This window comes from Homo sapiens, chromosome 8, assembly GCF_000001405.40.
Source record: "Homo sapiens chromosome 8, GRCh38.p14 Primary Assembly".
In the NCBI taxonomy this organism is placed as follows: domain Eukaryota; kingdom Metazoa; phylum Chordata; class Mammalia; order Primates; family Hominidae; genus Homo; species Homo sapiens.
Window position 1 is genome coordinate 102,372,747 of NC_000008.11, and position 16,532 is coordinate 102,389,278.

Genomic DNA, 16,532 nt, shown 5'->3' on the forward strand with positions numbered 1-16,532 from the left:
TTCATGGTCATTTCATTAGCTAAACTGTTAAAATGTATACCTACAACCAATTTCTTCCTCTAACCTGAAAAATACTCTGATTAGAAATTCTTATATTGTACCACAAATAACACTTTTCCTAATTAAGTGAAAAGGAGACCAAAATCCCAAACTACTGGGGCCATTTGAAAGATAAACACATCTCTGAAAAACGAAATGCTGAACACACACACACACACACACACACACACACACACAATCAGTCATGTTCCTTTTTTGTTTTTGTTTTTCCTTTTTGTGGAGAACGGGGTCTCGCTATATTGCCCAGGCAGCTCTCGAACTCCTGGGCTCAAGCTGTCCTCCCACCTCTTGCCTCCCTGAGAGCTGGGATTACAGGTGTGAGCCACCGCACCCAGCCCAGTCATGTACCTTTAAAGCAAAATCAATCACGTTATTTTCAGCTCCGTTCGAAACAGGAAAAGGAAAAGAATGCACATGCCAAACAAGAAGAAATTTGGTAAGAAAAGATTCAAGATATGGCCTTTATACACTAATTATTCTTAATAATTTCATAAGTCCTTCTGTCTTACCTAATTTCATTTGTTTAACAGTAAGACTATATATACATTCATACAAGAATCAAACTATGCTAGCAGATAAGACCGAAAGACTTCTTCAGGGCTCCTGACCAAAAAAGTGTAGCATCCGACCAAAATTTCAAGAGAATATACTAGGCTTTCTTCACCATAGACCATCCACATTCTGAATACCTGTGACTTCATTCCGTAAAGCATCTCCCAAATGCAGATAATGTATTCAAATTACTACAAATCCAATTTTAACTCTACATACAAATAAAATATCTCAAGAGATAGCTGATGTACTTCATAGTATAAACACTGCTATTTGGTAAGTTATTCAGTCCTTGAGAAAGAACTGTAAACTGAAATAAAATACCTGAAATGAAATCTGATTTCTCTATAGAAACAAGACAATCGGGGTTATATTCCTGATCGAGGATCTTGATGCCATTAGATTCTGGAGAGTTTCTTTGTACGAGATTTACTGAGATGGCTTCTTGTTGCCGTTTTATTAACGTCAAAGATGAAATCGCAGTTTTGCTGCCTTTGAAATGGTCACTTTACGTCCTAAGCTGCCATTTCATCAGCCCCAGGCATCACACCTACTCTCTTGTGAGGGGCAGCTTGGTGAGGTGTGAAGAGTACGCTGTAGTGTCACAGAAACCTGGGTTTGATTCCATCTCTACTGTGAACTGGCTCTGGAACTTTGGTAGAGCTTATTTTAACATCCCAGAGGCATGGAAGGTTTCTTCATCTATTAAATGCAGATAGAACTACCACTTGTCTAGCAGTGATGCTGTAAGGATTCAAGATAATTTTGTAATATACCTTGGAAAGAGCAGGCACTTAAGTGTTCAATAAATGGCAGCCATTTATCAATATTACTGAAATGTATTTTTCATCCTTGGATAGCTCACTATATTGCTACTTCAACTCTGCCAAGCTCTGGCTTGAAGTGGTTCTCAAACTAAATAGGGCCTTATTTGATTCCTAAGATCTGCTAGGAACTTGAGGATCCAGGGAATGAAAGCTAAGTCTGGGAATTCTTGGAAAAAGAAATCTGTGAACACACTGTAACTCCTTGTTTCTTATACACGAGTTTTTATTTCAGCGTTTTTTTTTCTTCTGGTCACTACCGTCACTCTAATCGCATCTCTCTCTTCCAGAAGGAGCCTGTACTCCAAACACAATTCCCTAACTAAATCATACTCACAAACTACTCTTTTATTTTTGTTTACATAACTATTCCCTCAGCCTTAGAATAACCATATCCCTTCTGAATGGCACTGTCAGAAAAAAGAAAGCAGGTACGTAGGTAGGTAGGTGACATACAGATATTAGACAGACTGACAGAATAACTATATCCCTACTGCCTTCTGCACACATAGCTACTAGTCTCAGGCCTACACTGAAACAAACTGTGGGAAACCTTAATTTACCCTTCACTCCAGACTAAACTAGGCATTTCTCTGAATTCCAATATACCTAGTACATATTTCCCAACAGCAGTTCTTATACTCAAACTACTTGTACAATCAAATATCTGTCTCCCTCACTGCCAAACAAACTCTTAAGGCAAGAACTATGTTTTATTAATTTCAAAATTCCCAATACCTGACACATAGTAAATGCTTATTTATATGGATGGGGGAGCTTAACAAACGGACATTCATGTCTTAGCTCTAAGCCCTACACTGTCTCAAAATGGTGGATTTGCGACTTTTTAAAAAGTCTTTCTTTTAAAATGTTTAAACGTTTAAAAAGTAATTTTTGGCCGGGCACGGTGGCTCACACCTGCAATCCCAGCACTTTGGGAGACCAAGGCAGACAGATCACTTGAGGCCAGGAATTCGAGAACAGCCTGGGTAACATGGCAAAACCCCATCTCCACTAAAAATACAAAAATTAGTCAGGGGTGGTGGTGCACACCAGTGATCCCAGCTACTTGGGAGGCTGAGGTACAAGAATCACTTGAACCTGGGAGGCAGAGGTTGCAGTGAGCCAAGATTGTGTCCCTGGCACCCTAGCTTGGGCAACAGAGTGAGACTCTGTCTCAAAAAATAAAAATAAAATGAATAAAAAATAAAAGTGATTTTAAAACATTCTGCTGTGACCAATATTAGCAGACTAGGTTTTATAAAACACAACAAAGGAATGTTGTCCTGCAAAATAATCCCCCATAGGCTACATTATAATTCAAATGGTGCTATAAGAGTATGAGGAATTTCTGAAACTCTGAGAATTAGCCCCAGAAAGAGTTTACCAGACAAACAGGAAAGTTACTCAATACTTCATAGTTGTGGGATACTCTCCCAGTCCTCTTGCCTAAGAAGACAATCTTCTTTCTCCTCTCCCTCTCCCTCCCCTGCGGTTTGTATCTGGGCTGGTGTTAGGGAAATGTGCTACAGGGACCAAAAGGAAGCTGGAAGCAATAGCAAGGGGGAAGGAGAGCTTATCAGGAAGCAAAATTACAGATAAAAGCCTATTATAGTGCAGAGCCTGGCTGTCTAAGCGCCTTACATTGGTAACAGGAATCTAACTGGTGAAGTGCCTTAACATGAAAATTATAGGAAGTCCGATCACTGGAGGTCTTCCAATGGCAAGTAATACAATAAAATATTCTAACACCTAATGCTTACCAGAATAGGAATAATTGGATATAAACATACACATTAAATTGTTTCTTTGGTTTGGGCAATCATCAACATTGTAGCTTTCATGAAAAGGCAAAATTAGTGCCAGACTGGTCCTACCGAGTCAATCAAAAGCCCTGGGTTTTGACTCCCAGCTCTGACACCGTGTAACCTTGGATACCTCATTTAACATCTCTTGCTCTCATGTTCCCACTTCTGTCAAAAATTTATCTGTTTCACAAAGTTGTTTTAAGAAATAGGTAACATCACATGCAAAAGTAATGTGTACTCTCTAAAATAAGAGTGCCTAAATATGGCTCATCATCGAAATCCCTGGGGAACAATTAAAAAGACATATTCTTAGGCCCCATTTAAACCTACTAAATCAGAAATCTCTAAATACAAGGCTCAATAACTTATATTCTGGCTAAATAAATATTGGTATATGCATGAAATATCTCTGGAAGGAATAATACCAATCACCTATGAGGAAGGGAAGTAGAAGGCCAGGAAACAGAAGAGGGAGGGAGGCTTTTCACTGTATGCCAATTTACAATTATTTATTTATTTATTTTTATTTTTTGAGACGGAGTCTCGCAATGTTGCCCAGGCTGGAGTGCAGTGGTGCAATCTCAGCTCACTGCAATTCCACCTCCCAGGTTCAAGCAATTCTCCTGCCTCAGCCTCCCAAGTAGCTAGGATTACAGGCGCCCGCTACCACACCTGGCTAATTTTTTTGTATTTTTAGTAGAGACAGGGTTTCACTATGTTGGCCAGGCTGGTCTCGAACTCCTGACCTCGTGATCTGCCCGCCTAGGCTTCCCAAAGTGCTGGGATTACGGGCACAACTTTTTATTTTTAGACCACATGAACATATTACCAACTTAAAATTTTTTTAAAAAAATGTCTATGCATCCACAGTAATTCTGATGGCTCAACTAGGTTTGGAACTCACTACTCACTCTAAAACACCATAAATACACACAAGGATTAAAATATTCACAAAAGTAGGGGTCTGTTTAGGGAGGCAGTAAGTAAGCATACTATTTCAAGTTTGGAGACTGTTGCTTAGGACAGCCCCCTCTTAGAAATTCACAATTCATACACCTCCATTAAGCCTCCAATAAGCCCTACAATGAAAAGGCCTGTTTATGCTTAATCTTATGCTTCCCAAGTTGAAGCTGAACATGGAACACTCGCTAGTAAGATCTTGGGGAACCAGAGGACACTGGTTTGAGAGCTAAGGTTCCTGAAGTAGAGCAAGTCTTAGTCATCTCTACCCTAGAACCCAAGAGAGTGTATCTAGAACATAGAAACCTCCTCCAAAAGGCACAGCTCAACAGTGACAAACTGCTTTTCCTGTCTTTTCTCTTCGTCTAAAAATGGTTTCCCAATTTCCTTATTGTTTAATCAACTGAAAGGATTTTTTAAAGAGCATAATAATCCACTGTGCCTAAAATCATATCGTTAAAAAATGTACAATACTGGCCAGGCGTGGTGGCTCACGCCTGTAATCCCAGCACTTTGGGAGGCTGAGGCAGGTGGATCATGAGGTCAGGAGATTGAGGCCATGCTGGCCAACATGGTGAAATCCTGTCTCTATTAAAAATACAAAAATTAGCCGGGCATTGTTGGACGCGCCTATAGTCCCAGCTACTCAGGAGGCTAAGGCAGAAGAATCGCTGGAACCCAGGAGGCAGAGGTCGCAGCGAGCAGAGATCGCGCCACTGCACTTCAGCCTGGGCAACAAAGCGAGACTCTTATCTCACAAAAAAAAAAAGGTAAAATACCTACAGCCCAAATAAATGTTTTCAACCCAAATATGGCAGTAGGCATTTTTATTCCTTTAAGTGTGAAAATAAAAGATCTTTATGATTCAAAAGCGCCTTGTTTTAGGAGACAGCAATAGATTTCAGTATTGTTTTTCCTTCTCCAATATAAGCAGACCCTGCTGGGCATCTTTATTCCCATTAAGCCAGACTAATCAAGTGAGCTGTACAATCAAACCACTTGACAACCTCATTTTTTACTGAAAACCTACAGATCTGCATAATCAGAATGGGTCTAAAGGCTATATCAAATGGCTCTTTGAAGTCTGCACCTACTTCAATGCACTCTAATGGGTCTCTAATCTAGAAACCCTTCCTTCAACTATCTAAACCAAAGCAGTCAAACAAATGTCATCAAAATTAAAAAAAACTGCCATAGCCAAATTTAAGGACTCTATCATTGTGTTTTGTCACTATGGAGCACAAATTAACATAAATGATTCCTCTCTGTGTGGTATCACAACTACCACAATAAAGGCTTGGTTTTAGTCTTCAAGGATCCACCAGAAAATGCTTCCAGTTCTTTGTCTTATAATAAATATTAGGTTGGTACAAAAGTAATTGCAGTTTTGCCATTAAAATTGCAAGAACCAGGTCGGGTGCGGTGGCTCACACCTGTAATCCCACCACTTTGGGAGGCCGAGGTGGGTGGATCACTTGAGGTCAGAAGTTCCAGACCAGCCGGGCCAACATGGTGAAATCCCGTCTCTACTAAAAATACAAAAATTAGCCGGGTGTGGTGGCGCACGCCTGTAATCCCAGCTACCAGGGAGGCTGAGGCAGGAAAATCACTTGAACTCAGGAGGCGGAGGTTGCAGTGAGCCAAGATCGCGCCACTGCACTCCAGCCTGGGTGACAAGAGTGAAACTTGGTCTTGAAAAAAGGAGGAAAAAAAAAAAAAAAAAAATTGCAAGAACCGCAATTACTTTTGCACCAACCTAATAACTCAATGTACGCTGACTCAACAGACTCAACAAGCGGTTCCAGACTAATATTTTAGTTTACTGACTTAGTTTACAGCCTAATATTTTAGTTTACAGACTAATATTACTGACCAAGTAACATCTCACCCCATCTCAACGCCCACTCTCATCTTCTCCCAGTAGATACAGGGGGGTTAGGGGTAGCGGTGGGGGACAACTTGGCCTTTTAGATAGTGCATGGATATGACAGTAAGAGAGCTAATCTTGGGAAAGACTATGAAGAAGAGCTGCCTACCTTCCAGTCCCTAATTATCTTCCCCAATACTGCTGCCTTTTTTGCCGTGCTTTTTTTTTTTTTTAAAAATGCCTGGAAATCACTTGCTAGTTACAGAGATACATCTCAAAGCATAACAAGTTTATTGGTATCATCAGCTACCTCCTCTCTCGGTTTCTGAAAGGGGAAGATGGTGGAGGAGTGAGTAGGGGTATATGCGAACACTAAACTCATCTCCAGCCAGATGCTCTTTGTAACTGCCACCATCTCAAACCTGTCCTAGTAATTAATCACTATGTTAGGAGAACACAAATGTTTGTAAAACGCGGTCGCCATCATCATAGCTACAATACAGCAGTGTAGCCCTCCTGTTTTCTACAAAAATAACTGGCATCTATTTAATACTTCGGTGTGTATAAAAACAGAAAACAAACCTAACAAAATGGAGGCAGTCTTATTAGAATATTATCAATAAATAATATTGCCATAATATTGTCATAATAAGTGTCAATTCACACTTGGACCATACAGTTCCTTTGTCCCAGACTAAATTCTCTATACCTCCTTCTTACCCTGACCACTCCACCAACCCTGATTGTCGACAGTCAGTGTAAAAACCATTCTACAGATGTGGTTGGTCCTGTTATCTCCACTTTCTCTCCTTTCCATCAAAAGCTGAAAAAAGTGAGTAAAACTAAAACAAAAAGGAAAAAAATATAAGAAACACTTCTTAACAAGTATTTACTGAATATTATGTGCAGATATGCAAACCAGTAGAGTGAAAGAATGGCTGAAGTAGAGATGATGCATTGAGTTCACCCTGAGGAAGACTTCTCCTACTCTAAATATGTAGCTATGAAAGGCAACTGTAAAAAAGAGAAAACCAAAAGACAAAGCTGAGATGAGATACAAGATGAGTATCTCCACACAAGAAAAACAGAGTAAAAGAGACTGGGTGCCAGAGCTGGGTTCATCCTAGAAGCCAGTTAGGCCCACATTTTTAGTAGAAAACTTCGTAACTGAAAATTTTAACAGTAACCATTAAAATAATGGAAATATAGTCTATGACTTTCGAATCAAGAGGGAGGGAAAAAAAGGAGTGCAGAAAACTAACCATCTAACAGAAGAGGAAAAAAACAGCAAAGAGGCCGGGCGCGGTGGCTCAGGCCTGTAATCCCAGCACTTTGGGAGGCCAAGGCAGGCACATCACTTGAGGTCAGGAGTTCGAGACCAGCCTGACCAACATGGTAAAACCCCATCCATACTAAAAATACAAATATTAGCCACACATGGTGGTACACGCCTGTAGTCCCAGCTACTCGGGAGATTGACACAGGACAATCACTTGAACCTGGGAGGCTGAGACTGCAGGGAACCAAGATCGTGCAACTCCAGCCTGGGCAACAAAGCTAGACTCAAAAAAAAAAAAAAAACAAAAACAAAAACAAAACACACACACAGCAAAGTAAATGGATCAGAAAATATAAAATTCAGAGAGCAGAAATAAGTCTACTTATTCAAATAGATTAATCTCACATATTACAAGTCAAAGATTAAGGGGAAAAAAGTCAGGTATCAGTAGCGAAAAAGCATTAATAGGGATAGAGACTATATTACAATAAAAGGAACAAACTACAAAGAACATTGAATAATGTTCATGAATCTGAAAGTTTCTAACACACAGCCTCAACAATGTATATAACAAAAACTGACCATTTGAGAAGCTGTCAACTCTGATGAAAAATTTAACATGCTTTTTTTTTTTTTTTTTTTTTTTGGACATAGGATCTCCCTATGTTGCCCAGGCTGGTCTTAAATGATCCTTCCACCTCAGCCTCCCAAGTAGCTGGGACTACAGGCAAGCACCAACATGCTCAGCAGAGAAAGTTAACATATACTTCTGTATTAGTCTGTTTTCACACTGCTATAAAGACATACCCGATGCTGGGTAATTTATAAAGAAAAGAGGTTTAATTCATTCATAGTTCCACATGGCTGGGGAAGCCTCAGGAAACTTACAATTATGGCAGAAGGGGAAGAGACAAGTCTTCCATTGCAGCTGGAGAGAGAAAGCAAACGAGAACAGGGAAAACTGCCTTATAAACCAATCAGCTCTCGACCAGGCATGGTGGCTCATGCCTGTAATCTGAGCACTTTGGGAGGCCAAGGCAGGTGTTATCACTTGAGGCCAGGAGTTCAAGACCAGCCTGGTCAACATGGTGAAACCCCGTTTCTATGAAAAATACAAAAATCAGCCAGACATGGTGGTGTGCGCCTATAATCCCAGCTACTAGGAAGGCTGAGGCATGAGAATCACTTGAGCCCAGGAGGCAGAGTTTGCAATCAGCTGAGACCCCACCACTGCACCACTCTGCCTGGGTGACAGAGCAGGACCTTGTCTCAAACGAACAAACAAAACCATCAGATCTCATGAGAACTCACTATCACAAGAACAGCAGCATGGGGGAAACCACCCCCATGATCCAATCACCTCCCATCGTGTCCCTCCCTTGACATGTGGGGATTATGGGGATCACAATTCAAGATGAGAAGCCATATCCACTTCTATCAGATACTGACAGTTCAAGCAGACAAAATTATCAGTAAAAGGCAGAAACACTGACAAAGAACATTAATAACCTTTCTCTAACGAATATACAGAAACCTACCTCCAAAGTGAGGAGTCACAGATTTTTTTTTTAAGGTATAAAGCATGTATCTCTGACTTCTGAATTTAACAGATAAGTGAAACTTCCTTCAAATTATAAGAACAAATATAATTTTACCAACTTTTCATTTTTTCAAATGAGATTCAGAAAAGAACAACTACTATTACTAACATTTAAGAAAAGATGGTTTTTAAATTTAAAAAAGTCAAAAAAGAAAAAAGGCAATCTAAAATAAAAGCTTTTTCTCACTAATCATGGACTGTGAAGATTTTCTTAGAAAATGGCACCACAGCAAAGAATTGTACAGTTCAATATTTCTTAACTTTTTTGATCTCAGGAAAAAGAAACATACAGATATTTCCATTTAATAGTGAGTCTTTGGTATAACAGTTTCCTTGTTTTACATTTGAGAAAACAAGTGACTACAGAGGTGAAGTGATTTACTTGTAGTTACTCAGTTAAGAGGAAAGTGGGAAAGAAGGCATGAGACAAAACCTTCCCTCTATCCTTGCCATCATGCCACACCTGCCACGGGTCCAATTCAATTAACAAATACTTCCTGAATTCCCACAGTATAAGGTTTTACAAGAAATAAAATGAACTGTAAAATACAGCATGGGAGGAGGTCAGGGAGAGGAGACCAACAGAATCACCTGTGGAGGGGGCGTCTCTACATACTCGGGAATACCACCCTTAATAGTGGGCCACAGTTACAGAATACAGTGTAACCTACCCATCAGGAAGCCTAAACTTCAGGAAAAAAGGAAAGCTGAGAACCACTGATTCAAATCCATACATCTCAAGTAGTTTATAATCTACTTGTGAAAGCAAAGTAAGTAGAAAAACATTTCAAAAAAGGAAATATAACACAAGGGTAGAGAGAGACACACACAAAAAGAAAACACAAACCCTGATTACAGTGACTTTAGAATAATTTTTTTAAAGCCTGAAGATCAACAGAAGCCTCGCAAAATTAAATCTTGAGTAAGGCTTGAGTGCACTTTGATAAGTTAGTTAAATGTGCATATCCTGGGATACTCATTTTCAGGAGGAAAATGTAGAGTTATTGCAAAGACAAAAGCAGGCTTTAAGTCTCTCCTTGAGAGCAAACAGGACCACAGCCAAGAACCACAGATACATGAGCAGAGATTATGAGAAAAGTGTGTGTGCTAAAGAGAAAATCACATTAAAACACACACACACACACACACACACACACACACACACAGAGACACACACACTGGGTATGGAGAAGTTGTGTATTCAGAGAAAACAGGAATAATTTTCCTGCATGTAACTTCTAGTTAAGTGTATGTGTATCTCAAATACCTCCTGCAATTCCACTAAGATGAAAAATTTTGAAAAACAAATTAATTTTAAAGTTACAGGGACAAAGAGAAAGACGAGGCTAGTGCATTCAACAAATTTTGGAAGCTGGAAAGCCGACAGACAAGTGGCCAGTGAGTTCACGACAAGAGAAAACTTTTCAACCTAAACCCTACGTGGTAGGAGGAAGCCGAAAATGAACAGGTCAATTTTTAGGAATTGGAGGCATCACATTCCTCTGAAGCCTGAGGGTAACGCAAAACAGGAACTGTTGGAAATTAGCATAAGGAAATTAGCATAAGGAAATTAGCATTAGTTAAACCCCTAGCTCCCCACCCTCTAGACAGGAGACTGCTCCCCTTCCAGAGGCTAAACATTTCCTACTTAGCAAAATTCAGCCAGAGTACTAATAGCCTGGGAATACACCCAGAATCGGCGTGGGAGGGAGAAGGGGTGTCAGAGACCAGAAGAAAAAGTGAAAGCTGTCTGCTGAAATCAGTAATCAGCCCCCATCCCAGAATGCTTACAGCCACGCTCTTACCTGCCAGGATTCCTCTTTGGGGAAACCAGCCCAACAAGAAAAATATATATATTTAACAGAATATTTTTTAAGAAGTTGGTCTCATGGAAAACAGGGCAGAAAAGAAAATCACAGTAGCTATGAAGTTGTCATACATCCAACCACCAGGAATTCCAAAAAGAGAAAAATGATAAAATGGATGGGGAGGGAAAAGTATTAAAGAAATAACAAGAAAAACTTCCTGAATGACACGAGCTTCCAGAATAAAAGGACCCATGAAATATTTGGACCCAAAATACAATGAATGAGTAAAGGACCTACATCAAGGTACATCAGTGTGAAATTTCTCAACACAAGGGACTAAAGGAAGACCCTAAAATATCTCAGGGCATGAGTTCATAAGGCATAGGGTTAGGGAGATGTCAAGCAGAAAGAATCAAAACAGCACTGAACTCCTCAAAAGGGATACTGGAAGCTATGAAACAATGATGTAATGCCTTCAAAATTTTGAGGAAAAATTATTCCCAACCAGAAATCATATATCTAGCCAATACAATGTACAGCCAAAAAATAAATTTGCTTTCATCTTAATAAACCAAAAAAATGGCATATCAACAAGAGTAGGGACAAGCCTTTTTGAAAACGACACAGAACTTTCTAAACAATCAAAATAGATCCAAAATTCCTTAAAATGTCACTGAAACAGTTAACCGAAAAAAACAAACACAAAAAAATCAATCCTGCCTTTTTGGATGAAGAGCTCACTAGTCCAACTAACTTTACAGCAATGATTCTCATCTTTTCTTCAAAGGTGATAGAATATTAAAGGTATTATTTGTGTTTAAAATGTATATGGGCAATTTTAATCATCTTTCAATATTTTAAAGGTTAGTATACATTAACAGAAATCTTCAGGAGTGCCCTAAAGATCTGAACTGTGGCTGGGCATGATGGCTTACGCCTGTAATCCCAGCACTCAGGGAGGCCAAGGCAGGAGGAACACAGAGTCCATGAGTTTGAGACTAATGTGGGCAACATAATGAGACCCCGTCTCTACAAAAAATTTAAAAATTAGCTGGGCATGGTGGTACATGCCTATAGTCACAGCTACTTGGTGGGCAGGTGGAAGAGAGGAGCTTGAGGCGAAGAAGAGCAAGGAACAGAGCAAAGACCAAAATAAAACACACACACACAAATTTAGGGACAAGTCTCTTTAAAAACCAAAAGAGCTCTGCTGAGCTGCAAAGGAGTTCCAAGTTCCACCTGAAACCAGCAAGTCTAAAAGGGCCTTGACCTTACTTCTCTAAACTCTCTTACTAGTTTCTCAAGTTATTGGCTTGACCAGACAAGCAAGAAAAACTCTAACCATAACAATCAAGACCTAAAGGCCTGACCTTTAAACTAAATCAAGAGCTTTAATCTGAAATACCAACAAAGGGTTACTGAGTCCCTCAACACATACCAAAAAATAATTTGAAACAGAAATTCATTTGAATGATGGCAAGGTTTACTTAAGACATTGGCATCAACAGGGTATTACAGCACATAATATGCTTAGTACAGAGCCTAGTACAAAATGTTAGCTGCTCCTGCTGTTTCTTCCATCACCATTTCTGACTGAAAGAAAAACTGTTAAATGAGACGCGTAAAAAGGAATTTGGGGATGCAGAAATGCTGTTATTACAACTGCTACTACTTATAATCAGTACCACTTTGGATGAAGAGATCAAAGGTGAATCCAAGTATCTATCATTACACCCCAATAAAAAATAAGCACTGAAAGACATTCAAAATAGATCTCATAACTAACTCAATACCTGGACATAACTGAAGTTCATGTATAAATTGTTCTGTATTTCATACTTACTGTAAAAATAATGTGAAGCATGGAATCTATCAAATTCCTGGTTATCTCAACTTCTCCAAATTACATTTAGAATTACCTCTATCCCACCCAAGTGACCTATCAAAAATACCTACAAAAAGTATAATTAAGGTACCACAGTCCAGTAAGCACTTCCTCTTTTGACCTCTTCCAGAATTTCTTGACTCTGTTTTTTTTTTTTTTTTGAGACAGGTCTCACTGTGTTGCCCAGTCTGGAGTGTAGTGGCTATTCACAGACACGATCATGATGCACTACAGCCTCAAACTCTCAAACTCCTGGGTTCCAGTGATCCTTCCACCTCAGCCTTCCCTAGTAGCTGGGACTACAGGAACAAGCTACTGCACCCAGCTAATCCCATTCAATTTTCCAATTAATCACTTACTGCTTTGAAGTGTCATCTCTGATACTGCTATTCTACCTTTTACATTTCTATTTTCCCAACTATATAGTAAGCTTACCCTTAAGGATAAGTAAGGCCTGTAATTTTTTGCACATCCAGGCATTTTGTACAAAGTAGGTACTGTGTGGATTGACTAAAGATACTAGAATCTTACACAAAACCACAGACTAGTTAACTGTTCACAAACTTTCTCACCCAAACACATAAAAGATAGAAACAATTCAGTGTCACTATGGTAATGATATGATTCTAATATGATGTGCATAGTCCACCATCTCACACCCTAGCATGTAAGGATGGAGAAGCAAGAGCTTCATAAATAGGTAATGGCATACTGGCTTCAAAAATGAACAGTGGTCCCTGTTTCAATATTCAAATGGAGACCAGGTGCAGTGACTCACGCCTGTAATCCCTACACTCTGGGAGGCCAAGGCGGGTGGATCACCTGAGGTCAGGAGCTTGAGACCAGCCTGGCCAATATGATGAAACCCCGTCTCTACTAAAAACACAAAAATTAGCTGGGTGTGGTGATGCACGCCTGTAATCCTAACTACCTGGGAGGCTGAGGCAGGAGAATCGTTTGACCCCAGGAGGCAAAGGTTGCAGTTAGTCGATCACAGCACTGCACTCCAGCCAGGGCGACAGAGCAAGACTCCATCTCAAAAAAAGAAAAAAAGAAAAATGAGCACGGAGACTGTCACTTTATACATAGTCTCCTCTCCTCCATCAAACCCCATGCAAAAGGGAAGAAAAGATACATGATAGTGAACCTGTCCTCTGCCAACAGGTTAAAATTTTAATACAGTTTTTTAAAAAATTAACGTAGACAAAAGGTAACAGTTAATGTACTGTTTTTAAAGGCTGGAGCACAGTCCTTTACTATGACATTCTGTTTTTATCTACAAATATTTAAAACTTTAGTTCATATAGGCCGGGCGCGGTGGCTCATGCCTGTAATCCCAGCACTTTGGGAGGCCGAGGCAGGCGGATCACAAGGTCAGGAGTTTGAGACCAGCCTGGCCAATATGGTGAAACCCTGTCTCTACTAAAAATACAAAAATTAGCCTGGTGTGGTGGCGGGCACCTGTAGTCCCAGCTACTCAGGAGGCTGAGGCAGGAGAACTGCTTGAACCCAGGAGGCGAAGTTTGCAGTGAGCCGATATCACGCCACTGCACTCCAGCTGGGTGACAGAGCAAGACTCCGTCTCAAAAAAAAAAAAAAAAAAGACCTGTACTCAGGGACCCACCACTACACAGCTGTACAGCAAGGGAACCACAGTACCTCCTTCAACTCAAATTGCTTCCCCAACAACATTGTCAGGATGTTAAATAAAACAATGTTTGGAAAACACAGTGCTTCATGCGTAGTAACAATGCTAAATATAACACTTAAAATGTGCAAACCTCATGATTTACCTAATCAGCCTCTAAATATTATATAATTCTAGCCCAGAAACTTACATTCCTCGGTCTCCAAAGGGAGACCTCCACAAAACAATAATTTACTATAATGTCAGTTTCTATCAGCATTTCACATAATCACATAAATAAAACTTCTGTATCGATTATAAAACTCACAGTCCATTAGGTTTTTAAAATATCTCTAATGTAAAAGATTCTCCAACATTTATATCAAACCATGATTAACAAAAAGTTCCTGGTCAGGGGTGGTGGCTCATGCCTGTAATCCCAGCACTTTGGGAGGCCGAAGCAGATGGATCACTTGAGCCCACGAGTTCGAGATCAGTCTGGGCAACACAGTAAAACCCGAAACCTCACCTCTACTAAAAACACAAAAATTAGCCAGGCGTGGTAGCATGCACCTGTAATCCCAGCTACTCAAGAGGCTGAGGCATGAGAATCCCTTGAGCCTGGGAAGCAGAGGTCACACCACGGCACTCCAGCCCAGGCAACAGAGTGAGACTCTGTCAAAAAAAAAAAAAAAAAAAAAAAATGGAAGGAAGGAAGGAAGGAAGGAAAAGCTCCTCTGTGATACACTGAGCTTTGTAATTTTTTAGCCATTGTTTTTGTCTTGGCTTCAAGAAAATCTAAAAACTAATTCTACTTAATTTGACACTTCGCTAACATTTCTACCAACTTTCCCATCCAGAACTTATTCCTTCCCCTCTGTTAGACCTAGGCAGACCCTTAAAAACTGTCTAGTCTCACATCCTTGTCTTATGAGTAACAAGAAGGCTTTCAGATATAAGGCCTCTTTTGATTAGAAACAAAATATGTGATGTATAAAACATGTGTAAAACACACGCTCTTTTTCACATTCACACAAAAGATCCTGCAAGTTCATCACATATTCAATAAAAACTGCAAAATACCCAAGAAAAATGGCACATATGACTAATAACCCCTTGAAAACTGACCACAAATAATATCAAAATACTCTCTTAGGCACAGCTATGAAATAATAAGCCCTATTTCCAATAAACTTTACATGCAAACAGATGTGTCTTCTTCGTATTAATCATACTGGCAAGCTACACATTTATTTCAACAATAATGCCCCACACCCAAAAGATTTTTGGAGTTTTCCTTTTGGAAGTGGCATTAAGATTTCTTTAGAATGCCACTACATACCCAGTCCCCAGTACAATGCCTGACACACAGTAGGCACGCAAACTATTAAATGAATACACACAATAGTAGTATTTCAGTGCAGACATGTCTCTGAAAATAGAAAACATTCAGTCCTAAAGCTTACTAATTAAACGGATGATGAAGCCGAGTGGTTCTTCTTTTTTTCGTATCAGAAGAGTAACGTGCTGATGACGTCATAACAAGATTTGAGGGTGGCACATCTCACATATGCATATGAACACCCAATCATCACGCTTATAATAGACTACAAAACGATCCTGAGTAGGTTTTACAAAATACTATTTCATAGAAAATACACCCTGAGTCTGAGCAGAGTCATAGTAAAGAACTAATCGCTAGCTCACATTTCAATCTTTAAGTCTCAGAATACATCAAATATTTCACATTTCCTAAACAATGCACCTAATCAATCAACTGACTGTAAGTAATACTAGTGACGTCAAAGAAACACATTTATATTGACTTGCCTTGTGATTCTGACCTAGATGCTTTTAAGGGGGCCTCTGTGGTGTTAAACCAACTGTCGAGTTCAATAATTATCTCAGGAAATTGTTCGTTAGTAGTTACACTTCCATAATATGTATTATTCTGTCCAATGCCATAAATGTTAAGTCCTTATAATTTGTTTTCAAATACATGGTATCAGTCTTTTCTAAAACATTCATAGTACCCAAATCTCTTTCTAAATAATTATGCTTTACTATTATCACTATTCTTAACGATCACAGTGGTTTAAAAGAAATCTATAAATTATTTTATACTTCTTCCATCAAGAGGTAGAGTCTAATTACTCTTCCTCATATATAAGCTAGCCTGATGACTTGCTTCTTGCAAAGGTAATGAGGCAGAAGTGACGCTGCAAAACTTCTAAGGCTAGGTCACAAAAAGGAATTCCAGCC

General features: G+C 39.5%; 1 protein-coding gene and 1 pseudogene across 2 annotated transcripts in view, besides 1 other annotated feature; both read right to left on the reverse strand.

Moving 5' to 3' along the window:
* UBR5 (ubiquitin protein ligase E3 component n-recognin 5) overlaps nt 1–16,532 on the reverse strand; it is a 160,428-nt gene that overhangs the window by 120,474 nt on the left and 23,422 nt on the right. The window lies entirely within an intron of this gene.
* Nucleotides 11,898–11,947: an enhancer, noted in NCBI's record as "active region_27751". NCBI's record gives its function as "activates an Ori minimal core promoter by ATAC-STARR-seq in GM12878 lymphoblastoid cells {active_cell/tissue: GM12878}" and the evidence as "EXISTENCE:reporter gene assay evidence [ECO:0000049][PMID:35858748]".
* On the reverse strand, nt 15,780–15,889 carry LOC124902086 (uncharacterized; annotated as a pseudogene).